Source organism: Homo sapiens, chromosome 19 (genome assembly GCF_000001405.40).
Source record: "Homo sapiens chromosome 19, GRCh38.p14 Primary Assembly".
Taxonomy (NCBI): Eukaryota; Metazoa; Chordata; class Mammalia; order Primates; family Hominidae; genus Homo; species Homo sapiens.
The window spans coordinates 13,292,041-13,306,853 of record NC_000019.10 but is presented as its reverse complement, the minus strand read 5'-3'; the positions used below and the strand labels follow the sequence as shown (position 1 = coordinate 13,306,853).

The 14,813-nt window shown below is 49.4% G+C and overlaps 1 protein-coding gene across 5 annotated transcripts in view; it reads left to right on the top strand.

Annotated features, from left to right (window-relative positions):
• The window catches only part of CACNA1A (calcium voltage-gated channel subunit alpha1 A), a 300,038-nt gene that overhangs the window by 199,626 nt on the left and 85,599 nt on the right, over positions 1-14,813 (top strand). For 3 of the 5 annotated variants that reach the window (NM_001127222.2, NM_001127221.2, NM_001174080.2), the window contains exons 16-19: positions 2,970-3,087; positions 3,241-3,308; positions 6,198-6,304; positions 7,501-8,310. In NM_001127222.2, coding sequence (NP_001120694.1) covers positions 2,970-3,087; positions 3,241-3,308; positions 6,198-6,304; positions 7,501-8,310 — 1,103 coding nt within the window. Of the gene's footprint in view, positions 1-2,969; positions 3,088-3,240; positions 3,318-6,197; positions 6,305-7,500; positions 8,311-14,813 lie in introns of all 5 variants that reach the window. The other 2 variants (NM_000068.4, NM_023035.3) reach the window with 1 other exon arrangement.

Sequence of the window (14,813 nt, the reverse complement as noted above, 5' to 3'; positions counted from 1 at the left end):
GGTTTCCATGGGACGGAATGGGTGAGGCAGAGTAAACAGCTCGAGACTGGCTAGTTTGGATCATTTCAGTGGGCTCTGGGGCAGAGGAGCTGTTCCTACTTGTCTAGGACCTGGCCTTGGGGTGATTAGGGCAGGTGGATAGTGCTGGGAAGATAAAGGAGGTGGTTGGGATATGGGCTGGTTGGGATATTGTTTGGTTTGCTTTTAAAAAGCCTGCTCAGGGCTAAATTGTTTACTACCTCTAGGGACTGGCTAGTGCTGGACCGGGCAGTCCCTCCAGAGTCAGCAAGACCCCAGATGCATCAGAATAAAGAAAATAAAATGCGTGGCCAGGCCAATGAGGTGGTTCATGCCTGTAATCTCAGCACTTTGGGAGACCAAGGCGGGAGGATTGCTTGAGCCCAGGAGTTCAAGGCTGCCGTGAGCTCCAGCCTGCACCACAGAGCAAGGCCCTGTCTCTTAAAAAAAAGGCAGAGAAAAAAAATGGCTAATACACCCATCAAATCTGAAGATACCTTGGTCTCATATTCCAGGGTGATCAACCCAAAGCAACTTCTGCACCCATGTGGGCGCATTCCCTGAGGCTTGGGACTGGCCCAGCCGGGACCTTCAGAGCATCTTTGGTGGATTCTTTCTCTTTGAGGGACTGAGAGTGTATAGAAAATGTGACTTCACTCTCTCCTTCTCCTGGGGAGGTAGTTTCTAAATGAGACCCCAAGACAGGGAGTTGAAGAGGAAACCTTCCATGAAGGGAAGTTCTGAGCCCCCACATAAGCGATTTTTTTTTTTTTTTTGAGATGGAGTCTCGCTCTGTTGCCCAGGCTGGAGTGCGACGGCACGTTCTTGGCTCACTACAACCTCTGCCTCCTGGGTTCAAGCGATTCTCCTGCCTCAGCCTCCCGAGTAGCTGAGACTACAGGTGCATACTACCATGCCTGGCTAATTTTTGTATTTTTAGTAGAGACAGGGTTTCACTATGTTGGCCAGGCTGGTCTCGAACTCCTGGCCTCGTGATCTGCCTGCCTCGGCCTCCCAAAGTGCTGGGATTACAGGCATGAGCCACCACACCTGGCCCATAAGCGATTATTAATAGCACTGATCGCTAGTCATGTATCTTTAGCTCAGAGGTTCTCACCCAAGGACAAGTCTGTCCTCCAAGGACATGTAGCAATGTCTGCAAGCATTGTTGGTTGTCACAGCTAGGGAGAGGGTGCTACTGGCATCTGGTGGGTGGAGACTAGGAATGCTGCTCAATATCCTACAATGCACAGGACAGCCCCAAATAGAATAATCTGGCCCCAAATATCAGCAGTGCTGAGGCTTAGAAACCCTGTTTTAGCAGATTCATGTTTTTGGAGTTCTTTAACATTTACTTTATCCTCATGGGGATATGGATAGAAGGAAGGAAGTTGGATCTTTTTTAAAGGAGCATGTAGGTGCTGTTTGAATATCCCCTTGGTTCTTTCAGTATGCATCAGCACAACTTGCGTCTGTCAACACCTAATCCTTTGCCTTGGTCTTTCTCTGGTCCCCTGCTCTGCCCCCAAGGAACTGCAGTCCAGCAGTACTGTGAATTTTTTGTGCCACACCTTAAAAGGAGCAGCCGTTGGTGGATAAATACCCCAGCTCCCTCACCCTCAGGTGGGATGACCCCTAGAGCTCCCCAGCAAGACCAAGCCCCGGTTACCTACAGTGGAAACTCGCTTGATCACATACTGTTTACGTTCCACCCTCTTTTCCCTTTTCTCACTTCTCCTCTCCCCTACTGGTGCTTCCTGAGATCACCTCCCAGACAAACCACTTGCACCCGAACCCTTGTTCCAGGGTCTGCCTCAGGCAGGGGGACCCCAAACGTGTCCTTGTGCTACATTTGTGCTATCCACGTAGTAGCTTGTTTAATCATCACCATGACCACATGAGGAACACAGGTAAATATTAAAATCCTGTCTTAGTCTGCTCAGGCAGCCATAACAAAATACCACACACTGGGTGGCTTATACAGGAAACATTTATTCTCTCATAGTTCTGGAGGCCGGGAAGTCCAAGATCAAAGTGTTAGCAGGGTTAGTTAGTTCCTGGTGAGGGCCCTCTTCCTAGCTTGCAGATAGCCACCTTCTTGCTGTGTCCTCATATGTCAAAGAGAGAGAGAGAGAGTTGTGATGTTTCTTCCTGTTCTTTTTTTTTTTTTTTTTTTGAGACAAAAATCTCAAAAAAAAATCTATTTTTTTTTTAGGCAAATCACATTTTTTTGTCACCCAGCCTGGAGTGCAGTGGCACAATCATAGCTCACTGCAGCCTCAAACTCCTAGGTTCAAACGATCCTCCCACCTCAGCCCCTTGAGTAGCTGGGACTACAGATGGGCACCAGCTAATTTTTTTAAATTTTTTGTAAAGATGGGGTCTTGCTATATTGCCCAGGCTAATCTTGAACTCCTGGGCTCAAGTGATCCTCCCACCTTGGCCTCCCAAAGTGCTGGGATTACAGGCATGAGCCATGGCATGCGGTCTCTTCCTGTTCTTATAAGGGCACTAATACCATCATGAAGTCCCCCATGACCTCATCTAACCCTAGTTACCTCTTAAAGGCCCCATCTCCAAATACCATCCCATCATAGGTTAGGGCTTCAACTCATGAATTTGGAGGCGGGCACAATTTAGTCCATAACAAATCCCCTTAATCACATCAAGTAAGACAGAGTTACAGGAGGGTCTGTGACTCCTCCAGGGTCCCATTTTCCTAGAAGCCAGGCTAAGAGCCCCACGACGCAGGAACGGCCCTTTCTACTCGCAAACAAAGAGAAAAGCCAAGGAGAAGCCAACACGGAGTCTGGCTCTGCAAACCGGGCAGGATTGTTAAAGACCTCCTGGGCTCGGGGATGGGGTGGGCGGATTCCGGCTCCACAGCTGCATCTCCAAGGGGCCCGTGGCTGAGAGGGGGGTTGGCTGTGTGTTTCTTCCTCCCCTTTCAGATCCTGACGGGCGAAGACTGGAACGAGGTCATGTACGACGGGATCAAGTCTCAGGGGGGCGTGCAGGGCGGCATGGTGTTCTCCATCTATTTCATTGTACTGACGCTCTTTGGGAACTGTATCCTTCATGGAGAGAGAGAAGGGGACAGGCCTGGACCTCTGGCAGAGGAGAGGTTGCAGGGGCTCAAGGGAGGGTACTGAGAGACCCAGATACCCAGGGCCCAAGTGGTGTCCCACCAGTGGTTGCTTTTCCTGACTCAGACATTTGCAGACACCCTCCTGAATGTGTTCTTGGCCATCGCTGTGGACAATCTGGCCAACGCCCAGGAGCTCACCAAGGTGGAGGCGGTGGGAGAATGTTTCTCTGGCAAAGTTACCACCTGCCCATGGCAGATCAGGACGGGGGTGGGGGTGGGGGTGGGGGTGGGGGTGGGGGCATGGGAACAGGGTTAGAACTTTTGCCGGGGATGCACCATGCAAAGAGAAGGCGCCTCTCCCCCCACTCCCAGAAACAGACTGTCCCTCATCAAGCAAATTCTACAGCCAAGAGGGTGGGAAGGGGGAAGGCAGTGAGGTCGCTGCAGGAAACGGATGGCAAACTCAACCAAAAGGCCGTTTACAGGGAGTAAGCAGGGTTTCCAAGGAATGGTGTAGCCCCCAGGCTAGTGGATGGGAGAGGGAGTGCTGTTATGGGGACCCAGTCAGAGCTGGGGCCAAGGAAAAAGGGCTGCCACCAGCCCTGGGACCTTAGAGAACCCAGAACCATGGCAAGGCACAGATGGAGTGGCCAATAAATGTCCCCACCTTCTCTCTTCCTCTGGCTTCCCGCTGGAGCCTCCCCTTAGCCAAACGCAGCATGTTAAGAGCTAGCCTCCGTCCAGCCTAAGCCTCTCCCCAAGGACCCTATTAAGTTAAGATTACATGTAACAGGTACAGGGTCTTCCTCTCAGCCCTGGGGTCTCCCTCAGCATTGCAGCCCCACCTCCAGTGCCTCGAGGTATTCAGGACATGTTTGTGAAATTGAACCAAACCAAGCAGACGTTGCCAACGCTCCATCTGCCGGCCCTGGCAGGAGGGAGAGAGAGTTTCCCGGCCCCAGCTCCCAGTGGAGGGAAGCGGAAGTCTCTGCCATCCCAAGCACACGGCCACAAGCCTGGCCACTGTGGAGCTGGCTGGCATGGCTGAGCCGAGGGCTGATCCAGCCATGAGCTCATCCAAGTTCCAAGAGTCCATCCTTAGGGGCTGGTGCAGGAGGGTAGCAGAAGGGGAGGGAGAAAGGCCAGTTCGTTTATCTCCTGGGAGGTGTGGACATTCCTCTCCAGATCCACATTCTTTCTTTCATTGATCCTACAAGCATTTCTTGGTCATTTAATACGTGTTTTTAATCCTATTCAGTCCTCATGGAAACCTTAGGAGCCAAGTTCTCTGAGCCCCATTTTACAGATTTCATCATTCAGTAAGCACTTAATGAGCACCTACTGTGTGACCAAGGCCCTGGTCTAGGACTTAGGGATTAAGCAGTGAACAAAAAAAGGCAAAAATCCCTGCCTCCGTGGAGCAGGGATTCAAGAGGGGAGACAGACAAGAAACAAGATAAATTTGTAAACATACGTAGCTTGTCAGTTGGTGATAAACACAACAGAGAAAAATTCAGTAGGGAAAGTCAGGGAGAGTTGGAATTTTAGATGAGATGTGTGTCGCACAGAGAGGTTGAGAGACTTGCCCAAGGCCACACAGCAGTAAGTTGTGGAGCTGGGATTTGAACCCAGGCCGTCTGGGTCTGCAGCTTGTGCTCTTAACTGCTGTGTACCAGTTGCTTGAATTTGGGCATGTTTTATGCTCACTTGGGAACCTGTGGGAAATGCAGATTCCAGGGCCCAGCACTGGTTCTATAGATTATTTGGGGAGCCTGAGGATCTGCATTTTAGGTGTTTCTGAGGCAGATGGTCCAGAGACCTAGCTCTGAAAAATGCTGGGAATGGTGCCAGGAGGGGTGGGGGTGGCCCTATGAGAGCAGGGTGGCCAGCCAGATCCCATCTCCATGTTGTCTCTGACAGTGTCCTGATCTGACCATTTCCAAGGTGGTAAGGTTGCTCCCCGTTCCAGTGATTCGGAGCACAGCGGGAGAGCTGCCTGCAATGGCATGACTTTTCTTATGGGCGGGTTCATTTCTGGCCATTTCTTTCTCGTTGCCTTTTCTTTGCTTTTTCTTTGTTGGCTTTTCTGTTTTACGAATGAGGCCCTGCATGAAGGCTGAAGAAGGATTTAAAGTCCAAAAACGTCTTTTTCTGTATGTATTTTTAAAACCTCTTCCCCCATTCTCCTCCTCTCTGAACCTAACCACCAGTGAGCAGCAGCACCCTGGGCAGTTGGCTGTAGCCCAAGTGCCCTGCTCTCCTCTCCCCACCGCCTTCCTGTCATGGGGGCTGGGAATATAAATTCCTCTCCTCATTCTCCTTCTGGGGGCTGTTGACAGTGCATGGCAGGGGCCATCGGATGCCAGGCTCTTCTGTGTGTGAGGGTAGTTGGTGTTTTTTGAAAGTTGGTTCAGAGAGTTCACATGGCTCAGAAAGCCTAGTGAGAGGAAAATCTTTGCACTGCTTTCCAGCTCATTAAGACAGGATGCAGGGGCCAGGCATGGTGGCACATGCCTGGAATCCCAGCACTTTGGGAGGCCGAAATGGGAGGATCATTTGAGGCCAGAAGTTCAAGACCAGCCTGGGCAACATAGTGAGACCCTGTCTCTACAAAAAAAAAAAAAAAATTAAATGTATACAGGCATAGTGGCATGCACCTGTAGTCCCAGTTGCTTGGGAGGCTGAGGTGGGAGGATTGCTTGAGCCCAGGAGTTCAAGGTTACAGTGAGCTATGATTGTGCCACTGCACTCCAGGCTGGGCAACCAAGGGAGACTCTGTCTCTGAAAACAAACAAAAGAAAAAAAAATAGGCTGCAGGAAAGTCTTCATTGTAGGAAGAGAAGGGACATTTTTATTTTTTGTTATCTGGCTGTGTGTTAAAATAGGCTTCATAATGAGTTAGATGTCAAACTTATACACAGAGGGGATAGCAATACACTTAACCAATAGCAGGTACCCATTCCAATTGGGGAGCCTTGGTTCTGATTGGTCGAAATATTTCAAATGTTGCCCCTGGTCAGCAACAGGGTCAGAAGTGAGTCCCCAAGGCCTAGTTCATGTTTTGTGAACAAAGATTCCACGTGCCTTTTAGGACGAGCAAGAGGAAGAAGAAGCAGCGAACCAGAAACTTGCCCTACAGAAAGCCAAGGAGGTGGCAGAAGTGAGTCCTCTGTCCGCGGCCAACATGTCTATAGCTGTGTAAGTGCCCCTAATCCCTGGGATGCTACCCTGGCTCCTGAACGTCCACACTATCCCAGGCACAGATTTGGGAAGCAGTGGGGGTGGTCCTTGACAGAACTGAGCTTTAGGAAGAGACACTTCTTGTCCTTCCACCCACTTTCACTCAATAAATATTTGGTTAGCAGCTGTTATGTACCCAGCACTGTTCTAACTTCTGGGGATACAGCATTAACAAGGAGGAAAAAAAAAATCCCACCTGTGTGTAGCCATTCTAGCAAGGGAAGGAGTCAATAAATTAGATAAATAAGTAAATTATATATTGTGTTAGAAGGCGATGGAACTACAGAGAAAGTAGGGGAGGGAAATAGCAAATGCTGGGAGTGAAGAGAGTTGTGATTTTAAACGAAGTTGTCAGGGAAGGCATCACCTAGAATAGGGGTCCCCAGTCCCGGGGCTGTGGACTGGTACCAGGCCGAGGCCTATTAGGAACGGGGCTGCACAGCAGGAGGTGAACAGTGAGCAAGCAAGCATTACCGCCTGAGCTCCACCTGCCGTCAGATCAGCAGGCAGCATTAGATTCTCATAGGAACACAAACACTATTGTGAACGGTGCATCTGAGGGATCTAGGTTGCGTGCTCCTTTTAAGAATCGAATGCCTGATGATCTCAGGTGAAACAGTTTCATCCCAAAACCACCCCCCACACCTAGGTCTGTGGAAAAACTGTCTTCCACAAAACTGGCCCCTGGTGCCAAAAAGGTTGGGGACTGCTCACCTAGAAGGTTACATGGCCTGAAGGAGGTGAGGGAGGAGCCACTGGGGGGCCTGGGGAAGGGCATCCCAGGCAGAGGGAACAGCATAGGCAATGGCCCTGAGGCAGGAACATGCCTGATGTGAAGGAGGCCTGTGTGACTAGAATCGAATAGTAAGTGTGAGGAGGTGAAGGCAAGGAGGTGACAAGCAGATTACACAGGGCCTTCTGGGTCAGGGGGGAGGACTTGGGCTTTTGCCCCTAGCCAGGTGGGAGCCATGGAGGGTTCTTGAGCAGAGGAGGCTGGGACCTGACTCAGATGCTCACAGACTCCTAGCATTCAGTGGGGAGTAGAGGGTGGAGAGCAGGAGTGGGAGGCTGAGATGTGGGTTGGTTCGCCTGGGTCATCCATCCAAGCTACAGTGCCTAGCAATGCTCTAAGTCCTGTGACCATGCCACTGCAGGAAAGAGCAACAGAAGAATCAAAAGCCAGCCAAGTCCGTGTGGGAGCAGCGGACCAGTGAGATGCGAAAGCAGAACTTGCTGGCCAGCCGGGAGGCCCTGTATAACGAAATGGACCCGGACGAGCGCTGGAAGGCTGCCTACACGCGGCACCTGCGGCCAGACATGAAGACGCACTTGGACCGGCCGCTGGTGGTGGACCCGCAGGAGAACCGCAACAACAACACCAACAAGAGCCGGGCGGCCGAGCCCACCGTGGACCAGCGCCTCGGCCAGCAGCGCGCCGAGGACTTCCTCAGGAAACAGGCCCGCTACCACGATCGGGCCCGGGACCCCAGCGGCTCGGCGGGCCTGGACGCACGGAGGCCCTGGGCGGGAAGCCAGGAGGCCGAGCTGAGCCGGGAGGGACCCTACGGCCGCGAGTCGGACCACCACGCCCGGGAGGGCAGCCTGGAGCAACCCGGGTTCTGGGAGGGCGAGGCCGAGCGAGGCAAGGCCGGGGACCCCCACCGGAGGCACGTGCACCGGCAGGGGGGCAGCAGGGAGAGCCGCAGCGGGTCCCCGCGCACGGGCGCGGACGGGGAGCATCGACGTCATCGCGCGCACCGCAGGCCCGGGGAGGAGGGTCCGGAGGACAAGGCGGAGCGGAGGGCGCGGCACCGCGAGGGCAGCCGGCCGGCCCGGGGCGGCGAGGGCGAGGGCGAGGGCCCCGACGGGGGCGAGCGCAGGAGAAGGCACCGGCATGGCGCTCCAGCCACGTACGAGGGGGACGCGCGGAGGGAGGACAAGGAGCGGAGGCATCGGAGGAGGAAGTAAGTGGAGGTGACCTCGAATCCGCAGAATGACGGTAACATTAATAATGACAACAGCCAAAGTAGCACGTGCTGTGTATTTGTTTATAAAAATATATTATAAAATGCTGTATTTGGCCAGGCGCAGTGGCTCACGCCTGTAATCCCAGCACTTTGGGAGGCCGAGGCGGATGGATCACGAGGTCAGGAGTTCAAGACCAGCCTGGCCAAGATGGTGAAACCCCACCTCTAATAAAAATACAAAAATTAGCCGGGCACGGTGGCAGGCGCCTGTAGCCCCAGCTACTCAGGAGGCTGAGGCAGGAGAATCGCCTGAAAACAGGGGGCGGAGGTTGCAATGAGCCGAGATCACACCACCGCACTCCAGCCTGGGCGACAGAGTGAGACTCTGTCTCAAAAAAAAAAAAAAAGTGCTGTATTTGGCCAGGAGCAGTGGCTCATGCCTGTAATCCCAGCACTTTGAGAGGCCGAGGCGGGCGGATCACTTGAGGTCAGGAGTTGGAGAACAGGCTGGCCAACATAGTGAAACCCCGTCTCTACTAAAAATACAAAAATTAGTGGTGGTGCCCACCTGTATTCCCACTACTCAGGAGGCTGAGGCGGGAGAATCAGTTGAACCTGGGAGGTGGAGGTAGGTTGCAGTGAGCTGAGATCGTGCCATCACACTCCAGCCTGGGCAACAGAGCAAGACTCTGTCTCAAAAAAAAAAAAATGCTGTATGTTTTTGTTTTTTTGACACAGGGTCTCGCCTGTTGCCCAGGCTGGAGTGCAGTGGCAGTCATAGCTCAGTGCAGCCTCTACCTCCCGGGCTCAAGCCATCCGCCTCAGCCTCACAAGTAGCTGGGACCACAGACATGTGCCACATGCCTGGCTAATTTTTGTAGAGACAGTGTTTTGTAGAGACAGGGTTTCACTGTGTTTCCCAGGCTGGTCTCAAACTCCTGAACTCAAGCATTCCGCCTGCCTTAGCCTCCCTAAAGTGCTGGGACTACAGGGTTGAGCCACCACACTCAGCCTAATTTTTTTACCTTTAGTAGAAATGAGGCCTGGCTCTGTTGCCCAGGCTGGTCCCCAACTCCTGGCCTCAAGCAATCATCCCACCTCAGTCTCCCAAAGTGTTCGGATTAGAGGCTTCACAGATGGGGAAACTGAGAGATTGAGTGAGCTCCTCAAGGTCATTCCTCTAACCAGTGTCCTTGAACCCAGGCTCTCTGGCACCAGAGGCCTTGAGCATTTCAGGGAAACTATTAAGAGAAGCCCCACTGTCGTCCAGAATTATATAGTCTTCTGTGTTCTTGCTGTGTGACTTTTGCAAAGTGACTTCATATCTCTGGGCCTCACACAATGGAAATAGTGGGATCTAATTGGGTCATTGCCAGGATTGAATGAGGTAATGTATGCAAAGGGCCTGGAAGAGCAGCTGACACATAATAAGTGCTCGGTAAATTTAGAGCATTTTTGGCCATTTTCAGCCAACTCTATTTACCTAATGCTATTCTTTGGAAGTTTGAAAAGCCACTCTGTTGGGAGGCCAAGGTGGGAGGATCACTTGATACCAGGAGTTGGAGACCAGTCTGGGCAATAGAGGCAGACCCCATCTCTATAAAATATAAAAAATTAAACAGATGTGGTGGCATGCACCTGCAGTCCCAACTACTTGGGAGGCTGAGGCAGGAGGGTCACTGGAGCCCAGGATGTCTAGGCTATGATGAGCTATGATTGCACCACTGCACTTCAGCCTGGGCGACAGAGCAAGGCTTTGTCTCAAAAAATAAAATAAAAAATAAAGAAAAAGAAAAGGCACTTTGGGCCGTTAGAATTGAAGGGAGAGCAGAGTTTCAAAGCTTTGGATGCAGCGGGATGTGGTGGCTCATGCCTGTAGTCCCAGCACTTTGGGAGGCCAAGGTGGGAGGATCCACTTGAGCCCCGGAGTTCAAGACCAGCCTGCGCAACATAGTGAGACCTCACCTTTTAAAAATAAATAAAAATGTTAGAAAGCTTTTGAGGCATCTTCCAGGCCAGCAACTTATCCATTCAGAACCAGCATCCTCTTTTTCATAACGACATTTTGTAATACTTTCTAGCAGATGCTATAGTGATTCTGCATATAGGGACTCAACAACTTACCCATTAAAATAGACATCGTAGACATTGTCCTATTACAAATTAACCTGCTCTTAGTCCTCTTTTATATTACCATCAGGGCATAATATTGATTTTTTTAATGATGGGTTTAAGTGATCCTGTTGTATGACATATGAGGTAGGCCAGCACTTCTCAAAATCTAATGTGTATGTGAATCCCCAGGGATCTTGTTAAAACACAAATTGTAATTCCGTAGGGCTAAGGACTCAGTGGAGCCTGAGATTCTGCATTTGCAACGAGCTCCCAGATGAGGCTGATACTACTGGTCCAGGGACCACATTTTGAGTAATGAGACTCTGGAGGACATAGTGAAGTAATTCTGATATGTACACCATACACAAAATCACCATGAAGTGACAGGCACAAATGATGGCTAACTCTGGGTTGTGTGGACAATTCAAACCACATGAGGGGAGTTGCCAGCAGTGTCAAGATGTTCCACAATGTTGAACACCTCTTGGCAAAGTTCCATATACAAAAGAGTCTAGTCTTTCTTCCATTTATTTAATAGTTGCATTGCAGGAAAATGCAATGTATATTAAAAACATACAAAAAATATGTTGTGTTCTTATGTAAAAGAGTTAGGTTTAAACTAAAAGCACAGGATCAGGTGCAGTGGCTCCCACCTGTAATCCCAGTGCATTGGGAGGCTGAGGAAGGAGAATCGCTTGAGGCCAGGAGTTCGAGACCAACCTGGGCGACATAAGGAGACCTCGATCTCTACAAAAGAAGTTTTTTAATTAGCCAGGTGTGGCGGCAGGTGCCTGTAGTTCTAGCTACTTGGAAGGCTGAAGCAGGAGGATTGCTTGAGCCCAGGAGTTCAAGATTACAGTGAGCTATGATTATGCCATTGCATTCCAACCTGGGCAACAGAACAAGTCCTTGTCTCAAAAAAAAAAAAAAGAAAGAAAGAAAGAAAAAACCCAAACAAACAAGCAAACTAAAAGCACAGGTAATTACAAGCAAGATTTTTCACCTCTTTGAGGGACATTAGAAAGTCATGAAGAGGAAAAGATAAGTCTTTCCCATATGGGACTGTCATGTACATGGTAGGGTATTTAGTATAACTGCCTACCATTCTCTAAGTGCCTGCAGTGCCCCTCAATCATTATGTTATTAGGTTTCCACGTAGTTCTACAACAGTTTTCTGAAAACCATTGTTCTAGGTCATTCTTTCGCTTCAATCTTCTCCTATGGGTTTATGCATTCATTCAGTTAGTATTTACTAAGTGCCTACTATATTCTAAGCTCATGCTGTGAGTTCAGTCACACAACTGCAAGTGAAGTGGTCTGAGACATTCTGAGAAATACGACCAAGAAACTGCTCCCAGGGTCTCAGGGCAGGTTTCCAGAGGAGCAATCTGAGAAGGGAGTAGAGTGTTTCAGTCTAACAACAGCATGTGCAAAGGCCCTGGGGTGGACCAGAAGGAGGCCAGTTTGCAGGACATGACTAGTGACGAGAAAGTGACAAAGAAATTGAAGGTGCATTGATGAGACTCTGGGGCTGTCAGTCACTCAGGGGAATGAGAGATCAAAACGGGAGTTTAGGTGGAATAAAGTGTTTACCACAGCACTCTCTGTATAGTAAAGACCAATGAAGAGCCAGGTACAGGCCAGTGTGATGGTTCACGCCTGTAATCCCAGCACTTTGGGAGGCAGAGACAGGTGGATCACCTGAGGTCAGGGGTTCAGAACCAGCTTGGCCAACATGGCAAAACCCTGTCTCTACTAAAAATACAAAAAATTAGCCAGGCGTGGTGGTGGACGCCTATAATCCCAGCTACTCAGGAGGCTGAGGCACAAGAATTGTCCTGCGAGGCAGAGGTTACAGTGAGCTGAGATCACACCACTGCACTCCAGCCTGGGCAACAGAACAAGACTCTGTCTCAAAAAAAAAAAAAAAAAAAAAAAGCCAGGTACAGTGGTATGCACCTGTAATCCCAGCTACTCAGGAGGCTGAGGCAAAGGATTGCTTGAGCCCAGGAGTTCGAGACCAGCCTGAGCATTTAGAGAATGGGAGGCCAGTATACTAAATACCCTACCATGTACAAGACAGTCTCATATGGAAAAGAATTATCCTTTCCTCTTCATGACTTTCTAGTGCTCCTCACACAGGTGAAAAATCTTGCTTATAATTATCTGTGCCTTTAGTTTGTTGGTTTATTTAGGGTTTTGTTTGTTTTTTTTTTTTTTTTGAGGCAGGGTCTTGCTCTGTTGCCCAGGTTGGATTGCAGTAGCATTGCTCATTTTAGAGATGAGCAAGACCTCATGTCTAAAAAAAAAAGAAAGACCAATGATTATTAATTACTCTTGCTATTATTACTAATATTACTGTTATTATCAGCCTTATTAACAGATCTACTGTTATTGAAGGAGGCAGAGTGACAGGGACAAAATGTCTCTCCCTAACAATATGCCAGGAAGAGTTTTTGAAAGACAACAGTAAACATTGGAAACTACAAGAGCAGCAAAGCCTGGTTGTGAAAGGCAAGGACTTTGGGGCAGGCAGTCACATTCCTGCCCTATCACTTCCAGGCTGTGTGACTTTCAGAATTTCACTCCTCTCTGGGCCTCCATTTCCTCATCTATAAAATGAAGATAAGAATAGTAGCTACCTCCTTCTCTGGGTATAAGATTTAACTGAGCCGGGCGCGGTGGCTCATGCCTGTAATCCCAGCACTTTGGGAGGCCGAGGTGAGCGGATCACAAGGTCATGAGTTCAAGACCATCCTGGCTAATATGGTGAAACCCCATCTCTACTAAAAATACCAAAAAAAAAAAAAATTAGCCGGGCGTAGGTGGTGCACGCCTGTAGTCCCAGCTACTCGGGAGGCTGAGGTAGGAGAATGGTGTAAAACCCGGGAGGCGGAGCTTGCAGTGAGCCGAGATCGCACCACTGCACTCCAGCCGGGGAGACAGAGCGAGACTCCATCTCAAAAAAAAAAAAAAAAAAAAAAAAGATTTAACTGAGTTAGTACGTGTAAAATGCTTTGAGTGGTTCCTGGCTTATACCAAGAGCTCAATAAATGTTAGCAATTTTTTGTAGCATTTTGGGGTCTCACTATGTTGCCCAGGCTGGTGTCAAACTCCTGGCCTCAAGAAATTCTCCCACTTTGGCCTCCCAAAGTGCTGGATTTACAGACATGAGACACCATGCCTGGCCATGTTAGCTATTATTAATATGAATATTATTAAGTACTCAATGAATGCTATTTTTAGCAGTAATAGTAAGCACTCAGGAAGTGTCAGCTAATACTGTTAGTAATACTCTCATCAATAAACATAAAAAGCAATAAGGACCCAGCTTGCCCAAATCCCACAGATGGTTCCTGCTCCCTCTCTTCTTCAGAGGAAGAAACTATCTCCCCACTTTCACCCCCATAGCCTCAGCTGGCCAGACCCCCATTCTGAACCAGGGGAGTACTGCTAATTCCATTATTAATAGACACATCAAACAATCTGGCCGGGAGAGACATTATTCATTTGGCTGATAAAGAGGTTCTAAGGCTCTTTGGAAATAAAAGTTCATGAAGATTCATGCACTTTAAGAGAAAAAAATTCAAGATCAGTCATTCATCTGCTTTAAAAAAAGTGGCAAAGATAAAACTTTATTTGAGAATATAAAATAATAAAAAGACATTTTCGTTCTCTGTTGTGACAAAGCCAGTGGCCTTCGGAGGTCTGCCTTGTACATTTTTCCTCTTCTTCAGTCATTCCTTGAGGCTTTTTGCAAACGTACCCTGTGTTTTTCATTCTCCAGCATATTGATAATTTTTTTTTTTTGAGACATGGTCTCGCTTTGTCATCCAGGCCCCGGAGTACAGTGGTACAATCATGGCTCACTGCAGCCTTGACTTCCTGAGCTCAGGTGATTCTCCCACCTCAGCCTCCCGAGCAGCTGGGACTACAGGTGTGCATGACCATGCCTAGCTAATCTTTTGTATTTTTTGTAGACACAGGGTTTTGCCACATTGCCAAGGCTGGTCTCCAACTCCTGGGTTCAAGCGATCCTCCCACCTCAGCCTCCCAAAGTGCTGGGATTACAGGAGCGAGCTACCTTGCCAGGCCGATCATATTTTTTTCCTTTTTATTCACTTTGTCTTCTCCTCATTCCTACCTTCATCTGTCTTTCAGTGGCTCACTCCAGTGAAAAGTGGACTGACGCACATTCTATTTCATATAATTCAATGGCTGCTGGCCCCAGATCCCCCATACCAGGTGGCCGAGCCCAGTGGCCCTGCAGGGTGGACAAAATGAGGGTGGAACTTTCCCAGACTGTCAGTAAAAATCTATGGAGGACAGAGCTTCTGCCTCTCCCTTGCAACCAGGCAGTGCCTTCTCCCAGGCCTATCTGCTTG